The sequence below is a fragment of the Homo sapiens genome, chromosome 20, assembly GCF_000001405.40.
Source record: "Homo sapiens chromosome 20, GRCh38.p14 Primary Assembly".
NCBI classification, from domain to species: Eukaryota; Metazoa; Chordata; class Mammalia; order Primates; family Hominidae; genus Homo; species Homo sapiens.
Window position 1 is genome coordinate 43703987 of NC_000020.11, and position 22177 is coordinate 43726163.

Sequence of the window (22177 nt, forward strand, 5' to 3'; positions counted from 1 at the left end):
TATTGGATTAGGGCCCACTCTAATGACTTTATTTTTTGAGAGTCGCTCTGTTGCCCAGGCTGGAGGCTGGAGGCTGGAGTGCAGTGGCATGATCACAGCTCACTGCAATCTCCACCTTCCAGGTTCAAGGAATTTTCCTGCCTCAGGCTCCTGAGCAGCTGAGATTATAGGCATGAGCCACCATGCCCGGCTATTTTTTTTGTATTTTTAGTAGAGACAGGGTTTCTCCAGGTTGGCCAGACTGGTCTCGAACTCTTGACCTCAAGTGATCCACCTGCCTCGGCCTCCCAAAGTGCTGGGATTACAGGCGTGAGCCACCGCGCCTGGCCTAACTAACCACTTTAAAGGCCCTATCTCCAAGTATTAATACAGTCCCATTCTGAGGTGCTGAGAGTTGGGACTTCAGGATGTAAATTTGGGGGAGACACAGGTCAGCCTGTAACATGCCGCAAGTGAGGGCTGCTGGCTGGAGAAGGAAGGCAGCGGGTCCCTCAGCTACTATTTGGGAAGCTCAGGATGATGGAGCGTGGTCGCTCTACTCCAGAGACCCCATTTAGGGTGGTGACCCTGAGGGTTGCAGATGGCTCTCTATTATAGCACCTTCAGGGCAGGGAGGGAAGAGAGCGGGGTGCTTCAAAGGATGGATGTTGGCTTAGATCTAGATTTCATTCTCACTTCTAGCACTCAGTGCAAGACTCAAAACCTCTCTAAGCGTTGGTTTTCTTATCTGTAAAAGGGGGATAGTAATAGTGCCTATGTCTCAGGATTTGTGGTAACTAATTGAAATTATTTGTGTGAAGTGCTTAGCACTGGCAAGAGAAGGTGCCCTCTAAATGATAACCCCACCGCCACCAGCACACTACAACTGTCACATGCCTTTTGCCTTCACAGGTCAGTTCAGAGCTAGTTTTATTTCTTCTGAGAAGGAGCCACTCTCCCACAGTTGGCTTCCTGTGCCTTAACTGCGTCGTCAGCACTCGAGTAGAGATGGCAAAAGCTAGGATTAGGGTGACGGAAGCCCAGAGGTCTGTGTGAACCTGCTTGGTGGGCTCCTGGCATCGATCTGTCCCAGTCCTTGTTCTCGGGTGTCTGATGGGTCAAGAGGGGACCTCAGTATCAGAGCAGACGTTTTGGGGGAGAGGCTCAAGGATCTCTCCCCATGATCCCCTGAGGTCTCAGGGATACTCATGCAGGTCATCATTTTGTCTTGTTCCCTCTCTCTTCTTTGGCAGTTTCTGAACTTCTGGAACAAACAGGACACATTGGAGCTGGAGAGCCCCTCGCTGACATCCACCCCAGTGTGCAGCCAGAAGGTGGTGGTCACCACACCACTGCACCGGGACAAGACACCCCTGCACCAGAAACATGCTGCGTGAGTGCTGCAGTGCCCCCAACCTTCGCCGTCCTCTCCCTCAGCAACACCAGACCATGGGCCTTGGGACCACTGGTGGAACAGTGGGGAGGGGGCACCCTTGGAATAACACTGAAGACTGTTTTAAGAAAGCCCTCTCCTTTCTGGCCACCACGATTTATCATTTTTATCGATATAGTTTTGGGCTCCACCTTTGCTTTTCCTCATTTGTATTTTTTAATTTGATAGTTTCCTTTTTTGTGATCCTCCTGCCTCAGCCTCCTGAGTAGCTGGGACTCCAGGTGCATGCCACCATGCTCAGCTAATTAAAAAAATATTTATTTATTTATTTATTTATTTATTTATTTATTTATTTATTTTGAGATGGAGTCTTGCTCTGTTGCCCAGGCTGGAGTGCAATGGCGCGATCTTGGCTCACTGCAAGCTCCGCCTCCCAGGTTCATGCCATTCTCCTGCCTCAGCCTCCCGAGTAGCTAGGACTACAGGCATCCGCCACCGCGCTCAGCTAATTTTTTGTATTTTTAGTAGAGACAGGATTTCACCGTATTAGCCAGGATGGTGTCGATCTCCTGACCTCGTGATCCTCCTGCCTCAGCCTCCCAAAATGCTGGGATTACAGGCGTGAGCCACCACACCCGGCTAAAATTTTTTTAAGAGGTGAGGTCTTGCTACTTTATCTGGGCTGGTCTTGAACTGGCCTTAAAGTGATCTTCCTGCCACAGCCTCCCAAAACGCTGGGATTACAGGCGTGAGCTACTGCACCTGGCCCTCATTTGATAATTTTCTGTCTCAGGAATGGAGAGTCCAAATTAGCCTGAAAAACATAATCTCTTCCGCTTCCTAAGGTTTCAGGTGCAAATTCGTTGTGTTTGAGCAGCCTTATGTGCAGGGCGAAAGTGCCCATCCCTCTATCAAGAGTGGAGACTGCATTCCTGTCCTCTGAGCTTACGGAGCATGACATTTTCTGTCTGGAAGCCTGTACAGGTTGCTCGCCAGCCTGCTTTTACAATGGAAGTGCTTTTACAATAAGTTTACTTCCTTGGGTCATCATGATTCTAAATTCCAGGTAGAGAGAGTTGCTTAACTATTCCTCTGCTTGATACATTTGCTGGAGGAGGAAATCGCTATTTTGTGATTCAGAAATCAGCTCAGGAATTTTAGCCCTGATAGTGATACATAATTTCGGGAAAAGATTTGTGAATCCCTTAGTCAGAAATCAGTCTCCAAAGTCCGGCTCAGTGGCTCACACTTGTAATCCCAGCGCTTGGGAGGCCAAGGTGGGAGGATCACTTGAGACTAGGGGTTTAAGACCAGTCTGGGCAATATAGGGAGACCCTGTCTGTACACAAAAAAAAAAAAAGTTTTTTTTTTTTTTGAGATGGAGTCTTGCTTTATCACCCAGGCTGGAGTGCAGTGGTGCAATCTCGGCTCACTGCAACCTCCGCCTCCCGGGTTCAAGCAGTTCTCCTGCCTCAGCCTCCTGAGTAGCTGGGATTACAGGCACGCGCCACCACACCCAGCTAATTTTTGTATTTTTAGTAGAAACGAGGTTTCACCGTGTTGGTCAGGCTGGTCTCAAACTCCTGACCTTGTGATCCACTCGCCTCGGCTTCCCAAAGTGCTGGGATTATATGTGTGAGCCACTGCTCCCAGCCAAAAAAAATTTTTTTAATTAGCTGGGCGTGGCCGTGTGTGCCTGTAGTCCCAGCTACTCGGGAGGCTGAAGTGGGAGGATTGCTTGAGCCCAGGAGTTTGAAGCTGCAGTGAGCTATGATTGGCTACTGCACTCCAGCCTAGGTGACAAAGCGTGACTCTCTTTCTAGTTTTTTTTTTTTTTAAAAAAAAAAGAGAAAAAAGAAATCAGTCTCTAAAGAGTTGATCTAAAGCATAACTTAGATAGGTTTCGTGAGAAATGATTGTCCGTTCAAACCAGAATCTTGGACTTCGCATCTAAGCCCTTAAACAGAGATGCTGTCACTACAAAAGGCATTGATACTTCTCTCTCTCCCTTTCTTTCTTATCCATGTGGCCTCATTTGCTGCCTCCTTCCAATTCCTTTTTTCCATAGGAAGAAGCATCTCCAGTGCTCTTCATTCCTCTTTAGATCCATATTTCCATCTGGTTCCTTCTGAAGGCCATCCTTTAACCATGTAGTGTGGGCTTGCTGGTGATGAGTTCTAATTTTTATATTTTTTTGCTAATTTTTCTATTTTTTTGTAGAGATGGGGTTTCGCCATATTGGCCAGGCTGGTCTCGAACTCCTGACTCAAATGGCCTGCCTCGGCCTCCCAAAGTGCTGGGATTACAGGCGTGAGCTGTAATCCAGCTGTTATTCCTTTGTAGAGAGTCTCTTTAGTTATCCCTCAAATTTGACAGGCTGTATGGTGGTGTGGTATTTCTCTATTTTTTTCCCCCCCGGCTTTCATATCAGACTAAAGATTCAAACCTTGAGCTGAGGAAGTGTTTATTTCTTTAGTTTTTCTTTCCCTGTCTGCCCCTTCTCCTACCTTAGGAATTCCTTCATATATAGGCTGGATTGGTCTCTGTGTCTTTTTCGTCTTCATACGCCTCTTCACCATCTTAAGCCATTTCCTTAATCTTCGGAGAACATGATGGGATTGTTTTCTGATTCACCAGTTTGGTTGTCTGTGGTTTCCAACTTGCTGAATTCTCTGATTTACAGAGCTGCATTTTTTATCTCCAAGCAATCTTTTGAATTCCCTTTTCAAGTCAGCCTCCCTGCCTCCCTGAGTTTTCTTTTTGAGACAGTCTTGCTCTGTCCCCAAGGTTGAATACAGTGGTGTGATCATGGCCCACTGCAACTTCTACCTCCCAGGATCAAGTGATCCTCCCACCTCAGCCTTCTAACTAGCTGAGAACACAGGTGTGCACCACCATGCTTGGCTAATTTTTTTGTTTTTTTGAGAGACAGGGTCTCACTGTGTTGCCCAGGCTAGTCTTGAACTCTGGGACTCAAGCAATCCTTCCGCCTCAGCCTCCTAAAGTGCTGGCATTACAGGGGTGAGCCACAAGGCCCGGCCTCTCCCTGAGTTTTCTAATGTGTGTATATACACTCTTTTTTTTCTTTTTTCCGAGACAAGGTCTCTCTTAGTCACCCGGGTTGGAGTGCAGTGGTGCAATCATGGCTCACTGCAGCCTTGAATTCTGGGCTCAAGTGGTCCTCCTACCATAGCCTCTGGAGTAGTTGGGACTACAAGCACCACCATGGCTGGCTGATTTTTTTATTTTTAGTAGTGATGGAGTCTGTGTTACCCAGACTGTTCTTTAACTCCTGGCCTCAAGTGATCCTCTCCTGTCAGCCTAACACTAATCCCAGAGTGTTAGGATTACAGGCGTGAACCACTGCCTTTGGCCATGTGTGTGCTCTTAGTCCTTGTTGATGCCACGAATTAGAGAGGTTCTGGAATTTTCTCATGTTCCTCAGAAACTCCATGTCCCATGGAGATGCTTGAGTGGCTCAGATTCACCTCTGTGAATTGTGGTTTGAACTGTAAGATGTGTACATTTGACTTGTGCTTATCTGTCTTCACTCTTCCTTACAGAGGGGGATCTCTGTGTGTCCCAGATGGGGGATAACAAGGGTTTGGGAAGAGACTGTGGATCCCTGCCTAATCTCTAGGTCCTGAGGAAGGAAGAAAAGAATGGTCTGCATTTGTTCTAGTTTTTTATCTCCCCATGGAGTGGCTGGCCAGCTGCGGGAAGTGGAGGCGGCGAGGCCCCAGGCTGCTGTTTCTAGGAGTTGGCCTCATCACCCAGGTCCCTGGCTACCTGGGGTGTTTCTCTCATCCTCTGAGTGCCCTGGTTATGCCATGAGAGTCAGCCATGGTGGTATCTCCAGGTGACTAAGGTCACATACCAGCACACAAGGGTTCGTGTTTGTGGAACCTGGTAGCTTCCTTCAGAGCTGACATTTGCCCACAGCCAGCCTGGCCCAGCCCCATACCACCAGCCCTGGCGCTCTGGGGCGTGAGGTGCCTTTTCTGCCCCCCTGCTCTAGGGCAGGTGGAAATCACCCATGGTGGGTCTACATCTGATAGAAGCATCTTATAGTTCTGCTTCTGGACCAGACCATCCTGGGTTTTTCTCTGTTCTGCTGAAGGGTTCCCTCCACGTGTCCATCACCTCGGTGAACTCTTGGGAGACCTGGGAAGATGCTGGCCTCACCTCTCGCCCCTCCTTTCCCTCATTGTGCTGCCACCATCCTTCTCACACAGGCTCTCCAGGGAGAGCTGGGCAGGATGGGATCTTCCTGGGTTCCCACCTTGCTCCGTGCCCCCTCTCACTGTTCCTGAAGTGTGGCCACGGACTGCCTTGTTTTCTGGAAAGTCCCAAGTCTGGACCATGACTGAGCAGCATTCTCGGCTATCTGCCACCTGTCTGGGGCTCCTGGCCCCTCTTAGACTCCCCTCTCCCTTCTGTTTCCCCCGAGCCCCTGACTTGGACCTGCAGGGTGGGGAGAGGGATGGGACGAGAACCTGTGCTGGGGCCAAAGGTCGCACTGGGGGAAGGTGGAGCCAGGGCAGCAGAGTGCCTGGCGTCGGCCCCTATCCTGTCACTAGTTCCCCCGTTCTGGCCCCTGGCAGGTTTGTAACCCCAGATCAGAAGTACTCCATGGACAACACTCCCCACACGCCAACCCCGTTCAAGAACGCCCTGGAGAAGTACGGACCCCTGAAGCCCCTGGTACGTGGTGTGGTCGCTGCCGTGGATCTCTGCACAGTGGGATCCCTTCGGTTCATCCAACCATGTTCAGTCCACAGGACCCTTCCCTCTGAGGTCTCATTTGATTCTTTCTCCTGAGAAGATGCAGAGATCCTGATAATATAAATGGGGAAGCTGAGGCTGCTCTTTGTCACTTCCTCCGACTGCTCCTGAGCACCTGAGTTTGCAAGCACGCGCCGGCTGGTGCTAGAGACATGGTGGTATCCCGTGACACTCAGCCTCAGGATGGGGGAGACTGATGTGAAATACAAATAACTTAAACACTTTCAGGCAAAGATAAGCACTGGGCCTAGTTCAGAGAAGTGGCAAATTGCTACTCTGGCCTGTCTCTGACCAACTCCCAGTTCTCTACAGAGCACGGGAAAGCCCCTCGGGGACGTCTTTCCTGCAGTGTGCAGGCTGCCCTTCTCCCCTGCTCTTCCCAGTTGATGGGATGGTTGTGTTTTCTCTATGAAAAAAGGAGTTGGCACCTTGGGCTTTCTGAAACACACAGGTGTTTTAGAAATCAGTGGAGGGTGAGAGAAAGGCATGGTTGTGGAGGCACTGGACTGTGAACAAGGTCTGCAGCGGGTCCCCCTGCTGTCTCTCTCCACTGCATGGAGCCTCCTATGAAGCCCAAGGTGGCTGGGGGCTGAGGCTCCCTTGGGCCTGCCATGGAACTGATTCTGAGTCAAGCAGACTTTCCACGGACCATGCTACATGAGCCGAGGTGAGGCACTAGTTAGTGCTCCTTTCCTGTTGCAGTGGAGATTTGGCTCCTCTGTACTAAAATATCTGCATGCTCTCCAAACAGGTGTGAGGGCAAATCACATGACCTTGGCAGCTGTAATTAAAGTTTGTGGGGGCTTTTCGGATGACTTATGAGGAGTGGCTGTGATTCGCACCTTTCACTCTTAGTAGCACTCGCCCTCCCCTGTTCTCTGTTGCCTGAAGCTGGAGAGGTCCTTGGAACCCCGAGGCCTGAGAAAGGGAAATGGGTTTGAGAGCCCCCATTAGTGTGGAACAAAGGGTTGAGTGAGCCTGGGCTTTGAGCTGTCGGGGTCCTAATTCAGCAGCTGTGTGACTGTGTGCCAGGCTGTTGATCTCTGAGCTTCTGTTTCTACCTGCTTAAAATGACGGTTACTGCACAGGGCTGTGTGAGGGTTACAGTGCGTCTCTGGGCTGCTCCCAGCCATGGCAGGCCCCTGGGAATCAAGGTCATCAGCTGCTTGTCCAAGGCAGCAGTTAGTGGTTGTGAATGGTGCGTGTGAGATCTGCATCCTGGCGTCAGGCCTCCTTCCTGCCTTACCCAGGACAGCCCAGTTGCAGCTGGGTTGGTCCCACAGTCCCACACACACACAGCCCGAGTGTGGTGCCTCACGTGGGCTGCCCCGTGCCTACCCACAGCCACAGACCCCGCACCTGGAGGAGGACTTGAAGGAGGTGCTGCGTTCTGAGGCTGGCATCGAACTCATCATCGAGGACGACATCAGGCCCGAGAAGCAGAAGAGGAAGCCTGGGGTGAGTAGGGTAGGGGTGGGAGAGCCTGGGCAGGGGGAATTGGAGCCGTGGCATGGGGGAGGCGTCTGGGGACAGGTTGTAGAAAGTGAGGCGCTGGGGAGAATGGGGGCGTAGCATATCCCCTTTGCCCCCTTTCGCACGGTGGTTGTTGAGGAAACTGACAAGATAAGGACAGTGTCTCTGGGACCCTCCTCTGCTCTGCTTTGAAGGATTCACTTACTTATCCAGCATTGTGTTCGGACCCTGCTCAAGTTGGGCTGGGCTGGATGTGGTGGATGGAGCAGCAATTACGACCCAGACTGGATCTCCCCTTAGTGTTCAGGGGGCAGAGACAGATGCTAGACAGACACACCATGACTGAATTCACAGGGTACCAAGGGCCGCAGAAAGGGAGGTTCCAAAGGAATCTTTTGGGTGGAGGCGAGGCGGTCGGGATGAGCCAGCCAGGCCAGGCAGTGCCTGGCTGAGTGTCAAGCTGCATGAGCTGGGGGTGGGGGAGTGGGTTCAGGTGAGGTGGAGTCTGCAGGGGCTCCTGGGCAGGGGGGCAGGGAAGGGACTGTCCCAAGCCTCCGTTCTATGCCAGCCTCCCTCCCACTGCGTCGTTAGCTTTCATGACAGTGCGCGATCCCTTCGAGTCTCCTAGTGCTCCTTTTTCCCAGACTGCTCTCCTCAAGGGAGAGCTGGGAACGGTGGGATGTACAGGGTGTTAGGTAAGGAGGGGAGGTGGGCGGTCAGCCTGGGCGGGACTTGCCCGAGCTGGCACCCCATGTGCACGTGGAGAGAACTTGGCCTCTGGCCTCCAGGGTCCTCCCTGGCCTCTCCTTGGTGGGGATGGTTGTGAGCCATGGCAGCCCCTGCTGAGTGCACTGTTGGGTAGAGTGGGGATGTGACTCTCAGAGCCGCTCCCTGGTATCGGAGCAGGCCCTGGACCTGCTTCTGTGAGGTGCACGGTTAGGAATGGGGCGTTCCTTGATTGTATTAGGCATTGTAGAGGGGCTTGTCCTGAGGGGTTTGTGTTCCCATATTACTGGCCTGTGGGTGCTATTTTAGGTGTTACTGGGGTGATTCTCTGCTGGGCCTGTTTGAGGGGCTGTGTCTGGTCCATTCGGGGTGAGAACAGGTCACTTCGTGGTGGAGGTTCATGCTGTGTTCCTGCTCACTGTCGCAGCACCTGGCAGGATAGGGTCTACCTTGGGTACAGAGTCTAATGGGGCCATGGGGCCTAACTTTCCCAGCCACCCCATTCTTCTGACAGCAGATTCCCACTAGCTGGGCCTTGCTCCAAGTCTGCACTGCAGCAGGGCCTGGTTTTGTGACCATCCATGGCCATGACCATCCAGGTGCTGACCATGGGGAATCCAGACACTCACCCTAACCCCCTTCTATCTGCCAACCCCTAGCTGCGGCGGAGCCCCATCAAGAAAGTCCGGAAGTCTCTGGCTCTTGACATTGTGGATGAGGATGTGAAGCTGATGATGTCCACACTGCCCAAGTCTCTATCCTTGGTAAGGCTTCTGCTCCTTGGAACTGTTGAGTTTTGGAGAGGACCCTCAAGGTGGAGTTAGTGTAGTGACTCTCCAACTGGGCTTCTGGAACCCTGGGCTCTGCAGGGAGGGGCTATCAGGGAGGGTGGGTCCGGGCACCCACTCATGGCTTCAGTCAGCAGCTCTGCTTGTCTCTCACAGAAGGTTTTGTTTGGCAGAGTTGCGCGGCTAGGACATGTTTTAAAAACATGCATCTGGGTCTCCTGCGCTCTCCCAGAGAGGGTCAGTGATGTGTCTTTTTTTTTCTTTTTTTTTTTTTGAATTGGAATTTCGCTCTTGTTGCCCAGGCTGGAGTGCAATGGTGCCATCTCGGCTCACTGCAACCTCCGTCTCCCGAGTTCAAGTTGTTCTCCTGCCTCAGCCTCCCAAGTAGCTGGGATTACAGGCATGCATCACCACGCCCGGCTAATTTTGTATCTTTAGTAGAGACGGGGTTTCTCCATGTTGGTCAGGCTGGTCTCGAACTCCCCACCTCAGGTGATCTGCCTGCCTCGGCCTCCCAGAGTGCTGGGATTACAGGCGTGAGTCACCGTGCCCAGCCTAGTAATGTGTCTTAAGGTATAGCCAGGCACTTGGGCACATTAGTCCTGGGATGGGTGCTATACAGCCCCCAGGCCAGTGGACTTGCTGTGCCGGGTGCTACAGTGAGGTCGACCTCAGAAAGGGGGTTGTTGCCTGTGCAGAGCCTGGGTCCCCAGAAGCCAGGGTGTGCTGCTGATCCCTCTCTGCTCACAATGGGGTGAGTTGGCTTGCCCTGGCTCAGAGTGGGGAGGCGGTGAGAGGCATGGCGGCGTCATGAACAAAGGTTAAGGGTTGCCTGATCTTCCAAGTAGACTGCTGCCCTCACGGTCCTTGCAGAGAAACCTTGTCCTGGCTAGGGGTCTCTGACAGGCTGGGGACCTGCAGCCAGGTTACTGCAAAGAAAAAAACATCACCGCAGGGAGTGAAGAGCACAGATTGAGTCAGGTGGGCCTGGGTTTGAGTTATGACACCATCACTGCTCTCTGGGATCTTTCAGGTTCCCTGAGCCCCAGTTAAAAGCCTATAAAAGGGGTGCCAAGCCTAAGTCAGGAGGGCACAGTGCCAAGCAGAGCAGAGAGACTGGAAGGGCGTGGGAGGGGCTTTGTGCAACTCCGCTGTGCTTGGGGTTGAAGCTGCGTCTTTATGATGCTTGTGGATGTTTCTGGTCCCAGGAAAACTAGGAACAGCCTTGGCTCCTCCTGAGGCTTTATGTGACAAAGCCAACGTTATTGAGTATGTTATTACTGGATAATGCTCAGTGATACTCCACATTTATTGATTATGTTATTATGGCCTGGGGGCTGCACGGCACCCATCCCAGGGCTGATGTGCCCCCACGTACTTGACTGTGCCTCCAGACACACCACTGAATCAGGCTCTGAAACGCACACACGTTTCTTTACTTGATTACTTGATTTTTTTTTTTTAAGTAAGAAAGTTCTTTAGAACAAGATTAAGTTCTTTGCTTAATTTTTTTTTGAGACGGAGTCTGGCTCTGTCTCCCAGGCTGGAATGCAGTGGTGCAATCTCGGCTCACTGCAAGCTCCACCTCCTCCCAGGTTCGCACCATTCTTCTGCCTCAGCCTCCCAAGTAGCTGGGACAACAGGCGCCCACCACCACACCCAGCTAATTTTTGTGTTTTTAGTAGAGACGGGGTTTCACCCTGTTGACCAGGATGGTCTCGATCTCTTGACCTCGTGATCCGCCTGCCTCGGCCTCCCAAAGTGCTGGGATTACAGGCGTGAGCCACCGCTCCTGGCCCTTTGCTTAATCTTTTAAGTATAAAGTAAGCTTAAGCTCATGTAAACTCCCTATCTGAAAGCAGAAACTGAGGCTTGGAAAAGTGTGTATCCTCTTTCAGGTCTCAGCAGCCAGGTGGTGGTGCTGGGGTGGGATTGCGGGTTTTTTTCTTCCCTCTCACAGCTTCTCGCAAAATGGTGACTCCTTGACTTGGTTTTGGTTTCAGCCGACAACTGCCCCTTCAAACTCTTCCAGCCTCACCCTGTCAGGTATCAAAGAAGACAACAGCTTGCTCAACCAGGGCTTCTTGCAGGCCAAGCCCGAGAAGGCAGCAGTGGCCCAGAAGCCCCGAAGCCACTTCACGACACCTGCCCCTGTGAGTGCTGTGGCCATCTCTGGGGGTCCTGCAGTGCCCGCCTTCTTAGCTCAGGGCTGAGTGCTGGCCATCCCTGGGGGTCCTGCAGTGCCCGCCTTCTTAGCTCAGGGCCTTTGCATAGGCTGTTCCTCTGCCTGGGTGCTTTTCCTGCTACTTCCCGTGGCTGCATTTGCTTAACTTACTCTTCTGATTTCAGTCTCAATGCTGCTTCCTTAGGGGTAAGCCTTCTCTGACCCTACATTCTGTAGAGATACCCCCATTCTGCCATTCTCTCTTTTGTGGCCTGGGTTTCACTTGTAACTAAGTCATTATCCCTGTATTTGGTTTGCTTAGTACATGTCTGTCCTCAAGCAGGGGCTGGCTTCAGGCTGCTGACCCGTCTCACTGCTCCTTCTCACCCGCCTCCTGGCTGTGGCTTCTCCTCGAGGCTGGTGCTGCACGGGGCGGGCAGTGCATGGCCATGTCTCCTTGTCCAGCGTCCTACTTACAGTTGAGGAAGCCCACAGCCAGGAAGTGACTTGTCCAGGGTCACAGGGAATGTGGAGAGAGAATAAGAAGGCTCTGGCTTCTAGGGGAGGGAGGCTTATAACTCTACCCTTCCCTGGCCAGGATCACCAGGGTCTGTTGGGAACACATAGTCCCTGCCTGGATGGTAACCCTCTTGCCTCCTCCCAGATGTCCAGTGCCTGGAAGACGGTGGCCTGCGGGGGGACCAGGGACCAGCTTTTCATGCAGGAGAAAGCCCGGCAGCTCCTGGGCCGCCTGAAGCCCAGCCACACATCTCGGACCCTCATCTTGTCCTGAGGTGTTGAGGGTGTCACGAGCCCATTCTCATGTTTACAGGGGTTGTGGGGGCAGAGGGGGTCTGTGAATCTGAGAGTCATTCAGGTGACCTCCTGCAGGGAGCCTTCTGCCACCAGCCCCTCCCCAGACTCTCAGGTGGAGGCAACAGGGCCATGTGCTGCCCTGTTGCCGAGCCCAGCTGTGGGCGGCTCCTGGTGCTAACAACAAAGTTCCACTTCCAGGTCTGCCTGGTTCCCTCCCCAAGGCCACAGGGAGCTCCGTCAGCTTCTCCCAAGCCCACGTCAGGCCTGGCCTCATCTCAGACCCTGCTTAGGATGGGGGATGTGGCCAGGGGTGCTCCTGTGCTCACCCTCTCTTGGTGCATTTTTTTGGAAGAATAAAATTGCCTCTCTCTTTGTGCTGGTCTGGACTCTGCCTCTCTACTGGGCCCTGCTCATGGTTCCCTGGTGACCTAGGGGCCTCTTCTGGGATATAGGGACCTGAATGCTCATCCTCAGAGGCCAGCCTTATCGGCACAGCCCAGGCCTGAGCCCTTGACCCTGTTTCCACAGAGGGGCACAATGAGATGAGAGCAATTTCTCTCGTCTCTGCACCCAGTGGGCATCTCTGCAAAGCTCTGAGTATTAATAGCCATGGGGTTGGGCGGGGGTGGGCAGAGACTGGGGGCGGAGGAGGACGATGGGTTGGTGCAGTAGGGCCTTGCCTGGCCCTTGCCTTGGGTGGCTCACCTGCCCATTAACAAGCCCCTGCCTCAAGCTGAGCGTGGCCCCCAGGTCAGACCAGTAAGCAAGGAAGAGGGGTGAAGGCAGCTGGGCAGAACCCTCTAGCCCCATTGGCCAAGGCTGAGCAGGAGGCCAGGATGGGCCAGAGCCTCTGCCCTTGTGGCCCTAAATCCCTAGGGTTGTGGCTACAGAGCACAGTGCTTGGCAGGTGGTTGGGAAGAGTCACTGGGGATTGAAGAGGGGAAGATGCCAAGTCTGAGAATGTCTAAATGAGGAATTGATGTTTTCAGCAGCAGGCTTCATGGGACAGGCACATGAACATCCCTGTGGGCAGAGGTTGAGCAGACTTGGGGCAGGTCCTCACCTGGGGCAAGAGATGCGGCCAACTCTAGAGGGATGGGGACTGAGTTAATTAGGGTGCCAGAGTTCAGATGTGTCTGGCCTCAGACACACCCCTTTCTCCCTGCTGAGCTCCCGCCTACAGTCCCCCTACTCCTGTCCATTCACATGCAGGCATGCCGTGCTTGGTCCTGGCAGTGTCCCAGTTCTTGATCTAAAGCCGAGGAGGGGCGGGGGCTCTGTGCTTCCCACCCTGCACCCCGCACCCCGCAGCCCATGTGGCTGGGCTGCATGCACCTGCAGGTTCCATGGATGAACCACACCTAACTCACGCCCTGAGCTTTTGTGATTTGTCAGCATGGAGCCTATCCCCTCCCCAACTTCTTCCCCAAGGTCTGTCACTGGCCGCTCCCTACAGTCCTTGGTCACCCAAGGTGGATGACCTGTGCCCCACGGTGAGGATGGAGGCTGCATTACCTTGTCTCCTATAGCTCACACCAAGACTCGGTGGAACAACTTTGTCAAACTCAAATGCAGTGCGCTGCAGGCTAATGATGAAAATTCCTGGGCCCTCTGAGTCAGGTACCTGGGGTGGAGCCTGCAAAAAGGGATTTTTAACAAACCACCAGTGGGTTATTCACATGCAGGGCGTTGACTGGCTACACTCTGAGCTGACGCCTGTGAGGCTCCAGGGGCTTGTACCCCATGCCCTCTCTTGCCTGAGGTCTTGCTCATTCCCAGGGACTGCCCTCAGGCCCTTTCCTGTCCTGGAGGGAGGAGGCTGTAAAGAACAGAGTGGCTGCAGGTAACAGCAAGCTTAACATACCATCCTCACTGAGCTCTGTGTGCTGTGGGCTTGTTCTTTGGTTCATGCATTAAATAAATACTAGGCCGGGTATGGTGGCTCACGCCTGTAATCCCAACACTTTGGGAGGCCGAGGAGGCCAAATTGCTTGAGTCTAGGAGTTTGAGATAAGCTTGGGCAGCATCATGAAACCCTCTGTCTACTAAAAAAAAAATAGAAAAAATTAGCTGGGCATGGTGGCATGTGCCTTTAGTCCCAGCTCCTCGAGAGGCTGAGGTGGGAGAATCACCTGAGCCCAGGAGGTCGAGGCTGCAGTGAGCTGAGATCATTCCACTGCACTCCAGCCTGGGCAACCAGAGGGAGACACTGTCTCAAAAACAAAAACAAAACCACATTTATTGAGGGACCCTCCAACCCTACCCCCACATGTCTGGCATAGTTGTAGTGCTGAAGATATAGCAGTAAAGGATAGAAACCAGGCCAGGTGTGGTGGCTCATGCCTGTAATTTAGTACTTTAGGAGGCTGAGGTGGGAGGATCACTTGAGCCCAGGAGTTTGAGACCAGCCTGGGCAACATGGTGAAACCCCATCTCTACAAAAAATTTTAAAAACTTAGCATGATAGCATGATGGCTCATGCCTGTAGTCCCAGCTACTCAGGAAGCTGAGGTGGGAGGATCTCTTGAGCTGTGGTTGTGCCTCTCTACTCCGGCCTGAGTGACAAAGCAAGACCCTATCTCAAAAGACAAAAACCAAAAAACTACCTTATTCTCATGGAGCTTAAATTCTTTTTTTTTTTTTTTTTTTTGAGATGGAGTCTTGCTCTGTTGCCCAGGCTGGAGTGCAGTGGTGCGATCTTGGCTCATTGCATGCTTCGCTTCCTGGGTTCACACCATTCTCCTGCCTCAGCCTCCCGAGTAGCTGGGACTACAGGCACCCACCACCATGCCCGGCTAATTTTTTTTTTGCATTTTTAGTAGAGACAAGGTTTCACCGTGTTAGCCAGGATGGTCTCGATCTCCTGACCTTGTGATCCGCGTGCCTCAGCCTTCGAAAGTGCTGGAATTACAGGCGTGAGCCACTGCGCCCGGCCATGGAGCTTAAATTCTAAAAAGCAGACAGATATAAACCAACCAATTGATATAAAATGTGCCAGAGGGAACTTTGAAGTAAAGCAGGGGGTACCGTGAGGCCAGTCATCTGCTCAGAGAAAGTGGGGAGGAGTCAGATTTGACAGCTCCTGGCCATCATGGGGACAGGGAGAGCCCACATGGGAAGGCAGATTGGTTGCCACTCAGGAGGTGCTGGGGGCCCAGCTGCTGTTTGATCAGGAGTTTGGGGAACTTGGTCATGAGGATTGATCCAGGCCTGATGTTTCCCAGGCTAGTGTGGCAAGCAAGAAAGAGTTAGCCAGATAGCGCTGAGGGGCAGAGGGCCTGAGTTCAGGATGGTAGTACAGGAGTGGGGGTGCTGCGGTCAGCCTGGGAGAGGGACAGGCAGGAGGGAAAGATGAGGCTTAGTTAAGATGGCAGAGGGAGGCTGGGCGTGGTGGCTCATGTCTGTAATCCCAGCACTTTGGGAGGCCGAGGCAGGCAGATCATCTGAGGTCGGGAGTTTGAGACCAGCCTGACCAACATGGAAAAACTCCGTCTCTACTAAAAATACAAAATTAGCCGGGCATGGTGGCGCATGCCTGTAATCCCAGCTACTTTGGAGGCTGAGGCAGAAGAATCGCTTGAACCCAGGAGGCGGAGGTTGCGGTGAGCCAAGATCGCACCATTGCACTTACTCTAGCCTGGGCAACAAGAGCAAAACTATCTTGGAAAAAAAAAATGGCAGAGGGTGAATCTGCCATTCTGGCAAGATCCAGATGATTGTCTGGCATTTGGTGACCAGCATGGCCTGGAGGTGAGAGGCTCACAGATATAGAGGCTGTGGTAGATTGTTCCAGCAATGGCTCCCTAGGGATCACTGCTCCCTGTAGCTATTCCCATGAGTGGGTCATGTGGTTGACTTTGCCCCTGAGGGACTCTGGGAGAATCTGCTGAAGGAGGTGAGAATTCTAGCTGTTCTGGTTGAGACTCCAGACGTGAGTAAGGCCACCCTAAACCATCCAGCCTCACCTGATCTGGCCCAGACTGGAGGAACTGCCCATCTGATCACAAAGTCATGAGAATAATAAATCAGTATTGCTTTAAGCCCTAAGATTGAGGATGGTTTGTTACACAGCAGAAGCTGACTGATAGAGATGCTGGCATGAGGAACTGGGACATGTGAGTACTTAAGGTGGTCCAGGATAAAGATAAAATGTCCTTCTCAGAGCAAGGCAGGGACTGGGGCAGGAGCAGTTTTGATAGGCCAGGAGTAGTTTGGGAGTCTTAATTAGCCACTTTTTCAGCAGACCCTGGTGTATCACTGAGGAAAATCAACACTGAGCCATGGGCTCATCAGGGTTGGGGAGAAACAGGAGACCTAGGGTTCCAGGAACTTTGCGGGAAATGAATGGGGTGAAGGATTCTGGAGTTCAAAGCCACTGTGACCATACCTGTGTCTTGTTCCCCAGAGCTGAAGGCAGTGGGGAGAGATATGGCTCATGGCATCTGGCAGACTCTCCCAGGTCCTCCTGCAGTCCTGGGTAGAGCTCTTACTTTGGATCAGACAGACTTGGGTGTAAACCCAGCTTAGCTCTTGGGAGCTGTGTGTCTCTTCAATGCACTGAGCCTTGGCTCCTTGGCTGTAAAATAGGGAGAATCCTTCAACTTCAGACTTGTTGAAGGGATTGGGAAGAATATGGCACATACTTGGTGCTCAGATAACATGGGCTCTTAGTATGTTATTACTTAGTATGTTTTTACATGTTTCTCATTTCTTTGTTACACACAATATACCCTGCAAAGGAGAAATTAGTGCCCACGTTTCAGGTGAGTGCTGGGAGGGAAGATGGTAGACAGTGGTTGAGTCAGGACTTGAGCCCAATCCTGGACAGCAAGTCTGGCATTTTAGTATGCCCCATTCCATGCCATCCTCTGTGTCATACTGTTATGGGCTCTTTGGGTTGTCACTTTTCTGGCCAGAAACATCTGTGGCTGATGGCACCTTTACCCGAGTTCTTGTCCTGTGTCCAGGAGGTACGCAGACAGGTGGAAGGTGAACATGATTAAGAGAAACTTTATTGAGTGTTACAACAGTTCACAGGAGACCCTCAGTGAGTAACTTCTGTCTGTAGGCAGATGGTCTGCAGTGTTAACTCTCAGCGGAGAGGAGGCCCTGGAGGATGTTGCTCCTCTCTGCTACTGTTTGTCCCATTATCTCCAGTTACCAGCAGAGACAGTAGCTCCTCTCTGCAGCTGGTCATCCCTTTCTCTGTCCTCTCTCCTGCTCTGGCTGAGCCCGGGACTTTTATAGACCTCAGAGGGGGTGAAGTGCATGCTGATTGCTCTGTGGGTGGCCATGGGCAGCAGGGAGGGAGCACCACAAGTCCCCACTCCGGCCCTCAGGACTGGCAGCTGGCTCCCAGCCTTCAGGCCCTCCCTGGCCTGAAGGAGGGGCCTTACTGGGGACTCGCCCCCTTCTGCCCAGGAATCTGACTCCCGCTGCCATTCATGGCCCCTGGGGTGCAGCCCCAACCCTGCTCCCAGATTGGAGCAGGTGCCTGGAGAGGAGATAGTCCAGGCAGCGGGAGCAGACACCCCTGAGCCTGCAGGGATGGGGAGCATTCCCCGCCTGAGAATGCAGGCTGCAGAGATACCCAGGTCCTGCACTTGGGAGGGCCGCTGCAGCTGCACCCAGGGAGCTTCCGCCCCGCCAACTTGGAAGGGGTGGGGATCCTGCTTGTCCCCAGCTCCTGCCTAGTTTGTGGAGCAGGAGGCCCAGGTCTGCAGCCGCCAGTCGGGTGGCTGCAGCTGCACCCAGACAGGCAGATCTTGCCTGCTCCCAGCCCCGCTAAGAGCACGGGAAGGCTTGGATCCACAGCTGCAGTTTGGGCAGCTGCAGCCCTGTCCAGTAGGGCAGGGTTCCTGCCTGCTCTGTGGAGCTGGAGGCCTGGGTTGGCAGCTGAGATTTGGGCAGCTGCAGCGGCCCCTGGGGAGCACCAGATCCATGGAGTGTGCAGCTCCCGCTGCGCTTCCCTGCCACAGGTGCCTCCCTGCTGCAGCCCATGTGATGGCAGCAGCCAATGACAATACCTGTCAGCCAGGGTAGGAGTATGGTGCCATAGAAGAAAACCGTAAGCGTTAGATAGAGGTTCAGTTAAAATCTTTCCATCGGAGTGCAATATTCATACAGAAGAGTGCATGAATCCCACGTGGCTGTGGATATGTTTTCACAAAGTGAACAGACTCGCATAACCAGCACCCAGATCAAACAACAGAACAAGAGCAGCACTGGAAACCCCCTCTCCACCCACGAAGGGTAACCGCCATCCTAACATCAAACACCAGCTTTGCTTTGCCTTTTTATTTTCGTTAAATATTATGTCAACAGAATTTCACATTATGTGAGATTCATCCAAGTAGATCTGGGTAGTTATCATTTGTTCATTCTCATGACCATTTTGTTTTATTTTCTATTTTATTTTCTATATTTTATTTTATTTTATACATGGTCTTATTCTGTCATCTAGGCTGAAGTGTAGTGATATGATTTTCTCACTGCAGCCTTGAAATCCTGGGCTCAAGGGATCCTCCCACCTCAGGCGTCCCGAATAACTGAGACTGCAGGTGCACCACCACGCTCGGCTAATTTTTTTAAATGTTTTTATAGAGACATGGTCTCACTATGTTGCCCAGGCTGGTCTTGAACTCATGGGCTCAAGTGATCCTCCTGCCTCAGCCTCCCAAAGTGGGGCTGGGATGAATTAGAGGCATGAGCCACCACACCTGGCCAATTTAATTTTAATTGACAAATAATTGTATATGTTTATGGGGTATGATGTGATGTTTTGATATGTTTATACATACACAGTAGAATGATTAAACCAAGCTAATTCACATATCTATCACCTCACGTGCTTTTTTTGTGTGTTGAGACCATTTAAAGTCTACTCTTCTCAATTTTGAAATTTACAATATTGGTTTTTCGTTGTGTGACTTCCACAATTTACCCATTATCTCAAAGGATGTGTGGATTGCTTCCAGACTGACTATTACACATAGTGCTGTTAGCACCTCTGCCTCGCCACCCCACAGTCTGGGAAGTAAGAAGCACCTCTCCCTGGCTGCCACACCATCTGGGAAGTGAGGAGCAGCTTTGCCCAGCTGCTGTGCCACCCTCCAAGTGTGAAGTGGTAGCCTTGTGTGTGATCTGTCTGCCCTCTCCACGTCTGCATTTTCGAAATTAAAGTTTACTTTTAAATTAAAAAAAAATAGTGCTGTTATGCACATGTCATCCTCATGTTTTGGTGAACTGTCATGCACATCTGGTTTATACATATCTAGGAGTGGAACTGCTGGGGATGGATTCAATTAGGCCACTTGCCATGCACTAACTTTGTGAACCAAGGCACATTATTTAGGTTTTTTTTTTTTTTTTTTTTGAGACGGAGTTCTGCTCTATTGCCCAGGCTGGGGTGCAGTGGTGCAATCTCGGCTCACTACAACCTCTGCCTCCTGGGTTCAAGTGATTCTCTTGCCTCAGCCTCCCGAGGAGCTGGGATTACAGGCACACACCACCATGCCCAGATAATTTTTTTGTATTTTTAGTAGAGACTGGGTTTCGCCATGTTGGCCTTGAACTCCTGACCTTAAGTGATCTGCCCACCTTGGCCTCCTCAAGTGCTGGAATTACAGGTGTGAGCCACCACACCCGGCTGTCATTTAGCTTTTCTGAAACTCACTTTTCATATCTGTATATTGGAGATAAAAATACTTGCTCCTCAGTTTTGTGGCCTGGATTTAATGGAATTATTTCAGCAAGGCACCTGACCTGAATATAGTTCCTCTCTCTTCTTCCTCTGCCAGCCAGAGCACCCTCTGCCCCAAGACACAGCTTTTCCACCGCACTCTCTTTGCCAGGAACCCTCAGCATGAACCTGCAAAGCTTGCCTGTTGCCCAGGGTTGGTGGGGCTGCCTTTCCCCACTGCCTGGTGGCCAGCTGCCTTTTGGGAGCTTGGAGGATACCTACAGAATGCTCCAGGCTGCCACTACATAGTGACAGACGTCAGCTCTATCTTGCTCTGTCTTGACAGAGCCCCTGTGGGTAGCGCTTCCACTAGGCTCACTCCCTTATGGCCCAATTCAGGGAGTTTCAGGAAGAGTAAGTTTTCCTGGTCCTGTTGGCCTATGGTTTATAGACATATATTCTCCACATCACTTTTTCCCCCTATTTCCTGTATGTCAGTTCTCTAGTTCATGCACTTCATTAATCACTGCCATCCAGAACTTTTTATCCCCCCAAGAAGTCTTTGTTTATAATACTTCGTGTAAGCAGTTGAAGGGGCCAGCTGGGTGGCAAAGTTATGATTACTTAAAAAAAAAAAAAAAAAGCAGTGAGCCTAGGCAACATAGTGAGACCCCATCTCTACAAAAAAATAGAACTAGCCAGTTATGGTGGTGCACGCCTGTGGTCCCAGCTAGTTGTTAGGCTTTGACGAGAGGATTGCTTGAGCCTTAGAGGTTGAGGCTACAGTGAGCTATGATTGCGCCACTGCACACCAGCCTGGGCGACAGAGCGAGGACTCTGTCTCAACAAAAAAACAAAAAAAAAACTTAACAGTTAAGATTTCCTCCTGAAAAACTTTCAAAGGACTTAAGTCTTCTACCTGCTGTTTAAAAAAATATAGTTTAATTTTTGACCAGATAACATATTCATATATATTCCCATGTAAAAGATTCTAAAGAGTCAATAGTAAAGAAGGGCTCTCTCTTGTCTTCCCTGGAGGCAGACAATATCAGTTTCTAGTGAAGAGGCAAGCAAATTTTTCTATTAGGCAACAGGTTGAAAAATTTCAGGCTTTGTGGACAGATCTCCATTCTAGAGTATCCTTAAAGAGAAATTTTATGCAAAAACAAGCACATACATATTCATGTCTTCTCCCGCAACTCTCCCCAAATGGTGGCATACTGTATAGACTGCTCTGGACTTGTTTTTGTTTTTTCTTTTCTTTTTCCTTTTTTTTTTTTGAGACAAAGTCTCGCTCTGTCACCCAGGCTGGATTGCAATGGCGTGATCTCGGCTAACTGCAGCCTCTGCTCCCGGGTTCAAGCTATTCTCCTGCCTCAGCCTCTTGAGTAGCTGGGATTACAGGTGCCCACCACACGCCCGGCTAAATTTTGTATTTTTAGTAGAGATGGGGTTTTGCCATGTTGGCCAGGCTGGCCTCGAACTCCACACCTCAGGTGATTGGCCCGCCTCCGGCTCCCAAAGTGCTGGGATTACAGGCATGAGCCACCGGGCCCGGCCTGGACTTGGTTTTTATCAGTTAAACTGGGGGTTGGCAAACCATGGCCCACCAGTCAAGTCCAGCCTGCCACCTGTGGCTGTAAGGCATTTTATTGGAACCTCTGTTCATTTGTTTACATATTATATGTGGCTGCTCTCGTGTTGCAGTGGCAGGGCCGAGTAGTTGCAACACAGACTGTGTGGCTGACAAAGGCTAAGATATTTGCCATCTGGCCTTTTACAGAAACAGTTTGCTGACCTCTGAGCTCAACAGTGTGTCTCAACCTTTCTATATCAGCACAGAAAGAGCTTCCTCACTTTTTTTAAGGCGGCATAATATTTTGTTGTATGGCTGCAGTATAACTTATTTTTAATCAGGCCCTTTTAATGGATATTTAGGTCATTTTTGACTTTTTTTTTTGTTGCTTAAGACAGGATCTCACTATGTTGCCCAGGCTGAACTCAAGCGATCCTCTCGCCTCAGCTCCCAGAGTAACAGGCTACAGCTGTGATTCAACACACCTGGCTCATTTCTAACTCTTTTGCTGCTGCAAATAATGCTGCAGTGAATAAGCTAGTACTTAGCTCATTTTCCACATGTGTGATTATATTTACAGAATGAAGCCTGGAAGTGGAATTGCTCAATCAAAGCCTGTATGCATTGATAATGTTTATAGCTATTGTCAAATTGCCCTCTGTGGAGGTTGTACCAACTGACATTCTCACCAATGTTATGAAAGTGCCCATTTTGCCCTACCTTTGCCAGCAGAGTATTTTAAGCCTTTTGATATTTATCAATCTGCCAGGTTAAAAAAAGAGGTAGCCCAGGGTAG

The 22177-nt window shown here is 51.3% G+C and overlaps 1 protein-coding gene across 2 annotated transcripts in view, besides 4 other annotated features; it reads left to right on the forward strand.

The window, feature by feature from the left end:
- Window positions 1-12496, forward strand: part of MYBL2 (MYB proto-oncogene like 2) — a 49369-nt gene extending 36873 nt beyond the window's left edge. For both annotated transcript variants that reach the window (NM_002466.4, NM_001278610.2), the window contains 6 exons: window positions 1233-1372; window positions 5977-6076; window positions 7502-7615; window positions 9016-9120; window positions 11148-11297; window positions 11973-12496. In NM_002466.4, coding sequence (NP_002457.1) covers window positions 1233-1372; window positions 5977-6076; window positions 7502-7615; window positions 9016-9120; window positions 11148-11297; window positions 11973-12101 — 738 coding nt within the window. In that variant the 3' untranslated portion in view covers window positions 12102-12496. The remainder of the gene's footprint in view (window positions 1-1232; window positions 1373-5976; window positions 6077-7501; window positions 7616-9015; window positions 9121-11147; window positions 11298-11972) is intronic.
- Window positions 6126-6255: an enhancer, noted in NCBI's record as "active region_17907". NCBI's record gives its function as "activates an Ori minimal core promoter by ATAC-STARR-seq in GM12878 lymphoblastoid cells {active_cell/tissue: GM12878}" and the evidence as "EXISTENCE:reporter gene assay evidence [ECO:0000049][PMID:35858748]".
- Window positions 7096-7165: an enhancer, noted in NCBI's record as "active region_17908". NCBI's record gives its function as "activates an Ori minimal core promoter by ATAC-STARR-seq in GM12878 lymphoblastoid cells {active_cell/tissue: GM12878}" and the evidence as "EXISTENCE:reporter gene assay evidence [ECO:0000049][PMID:35858748]".
- Window positions 16429-16629: a silencer, noted in NCBI's record as "peak4221 fragment used in MPRA reporter construct". NCBI's record gives its function as "represses an SCP1 promoter by STARR-seq MPRAs in K562 erythroleukemia cells {active_cell/tissue: K562}" and the evidence as "EXISTENCE:reporter gene assay evidence [ECO:0000049][PMID:32103011]".
- Window positions 18349-18418: an enhancer, noted in NCBI's record as "active region_17909". NCBI's record gives its function as "activates an Ori minimal core promoter by ATAC-STARR-seq in GM12878 lymphoblastoid cells {active_cell/tissue: GM12878}" and the evidence as "EXISTENCE:reporter gene assay evidence [ECO:0000049][PMID:35858748]".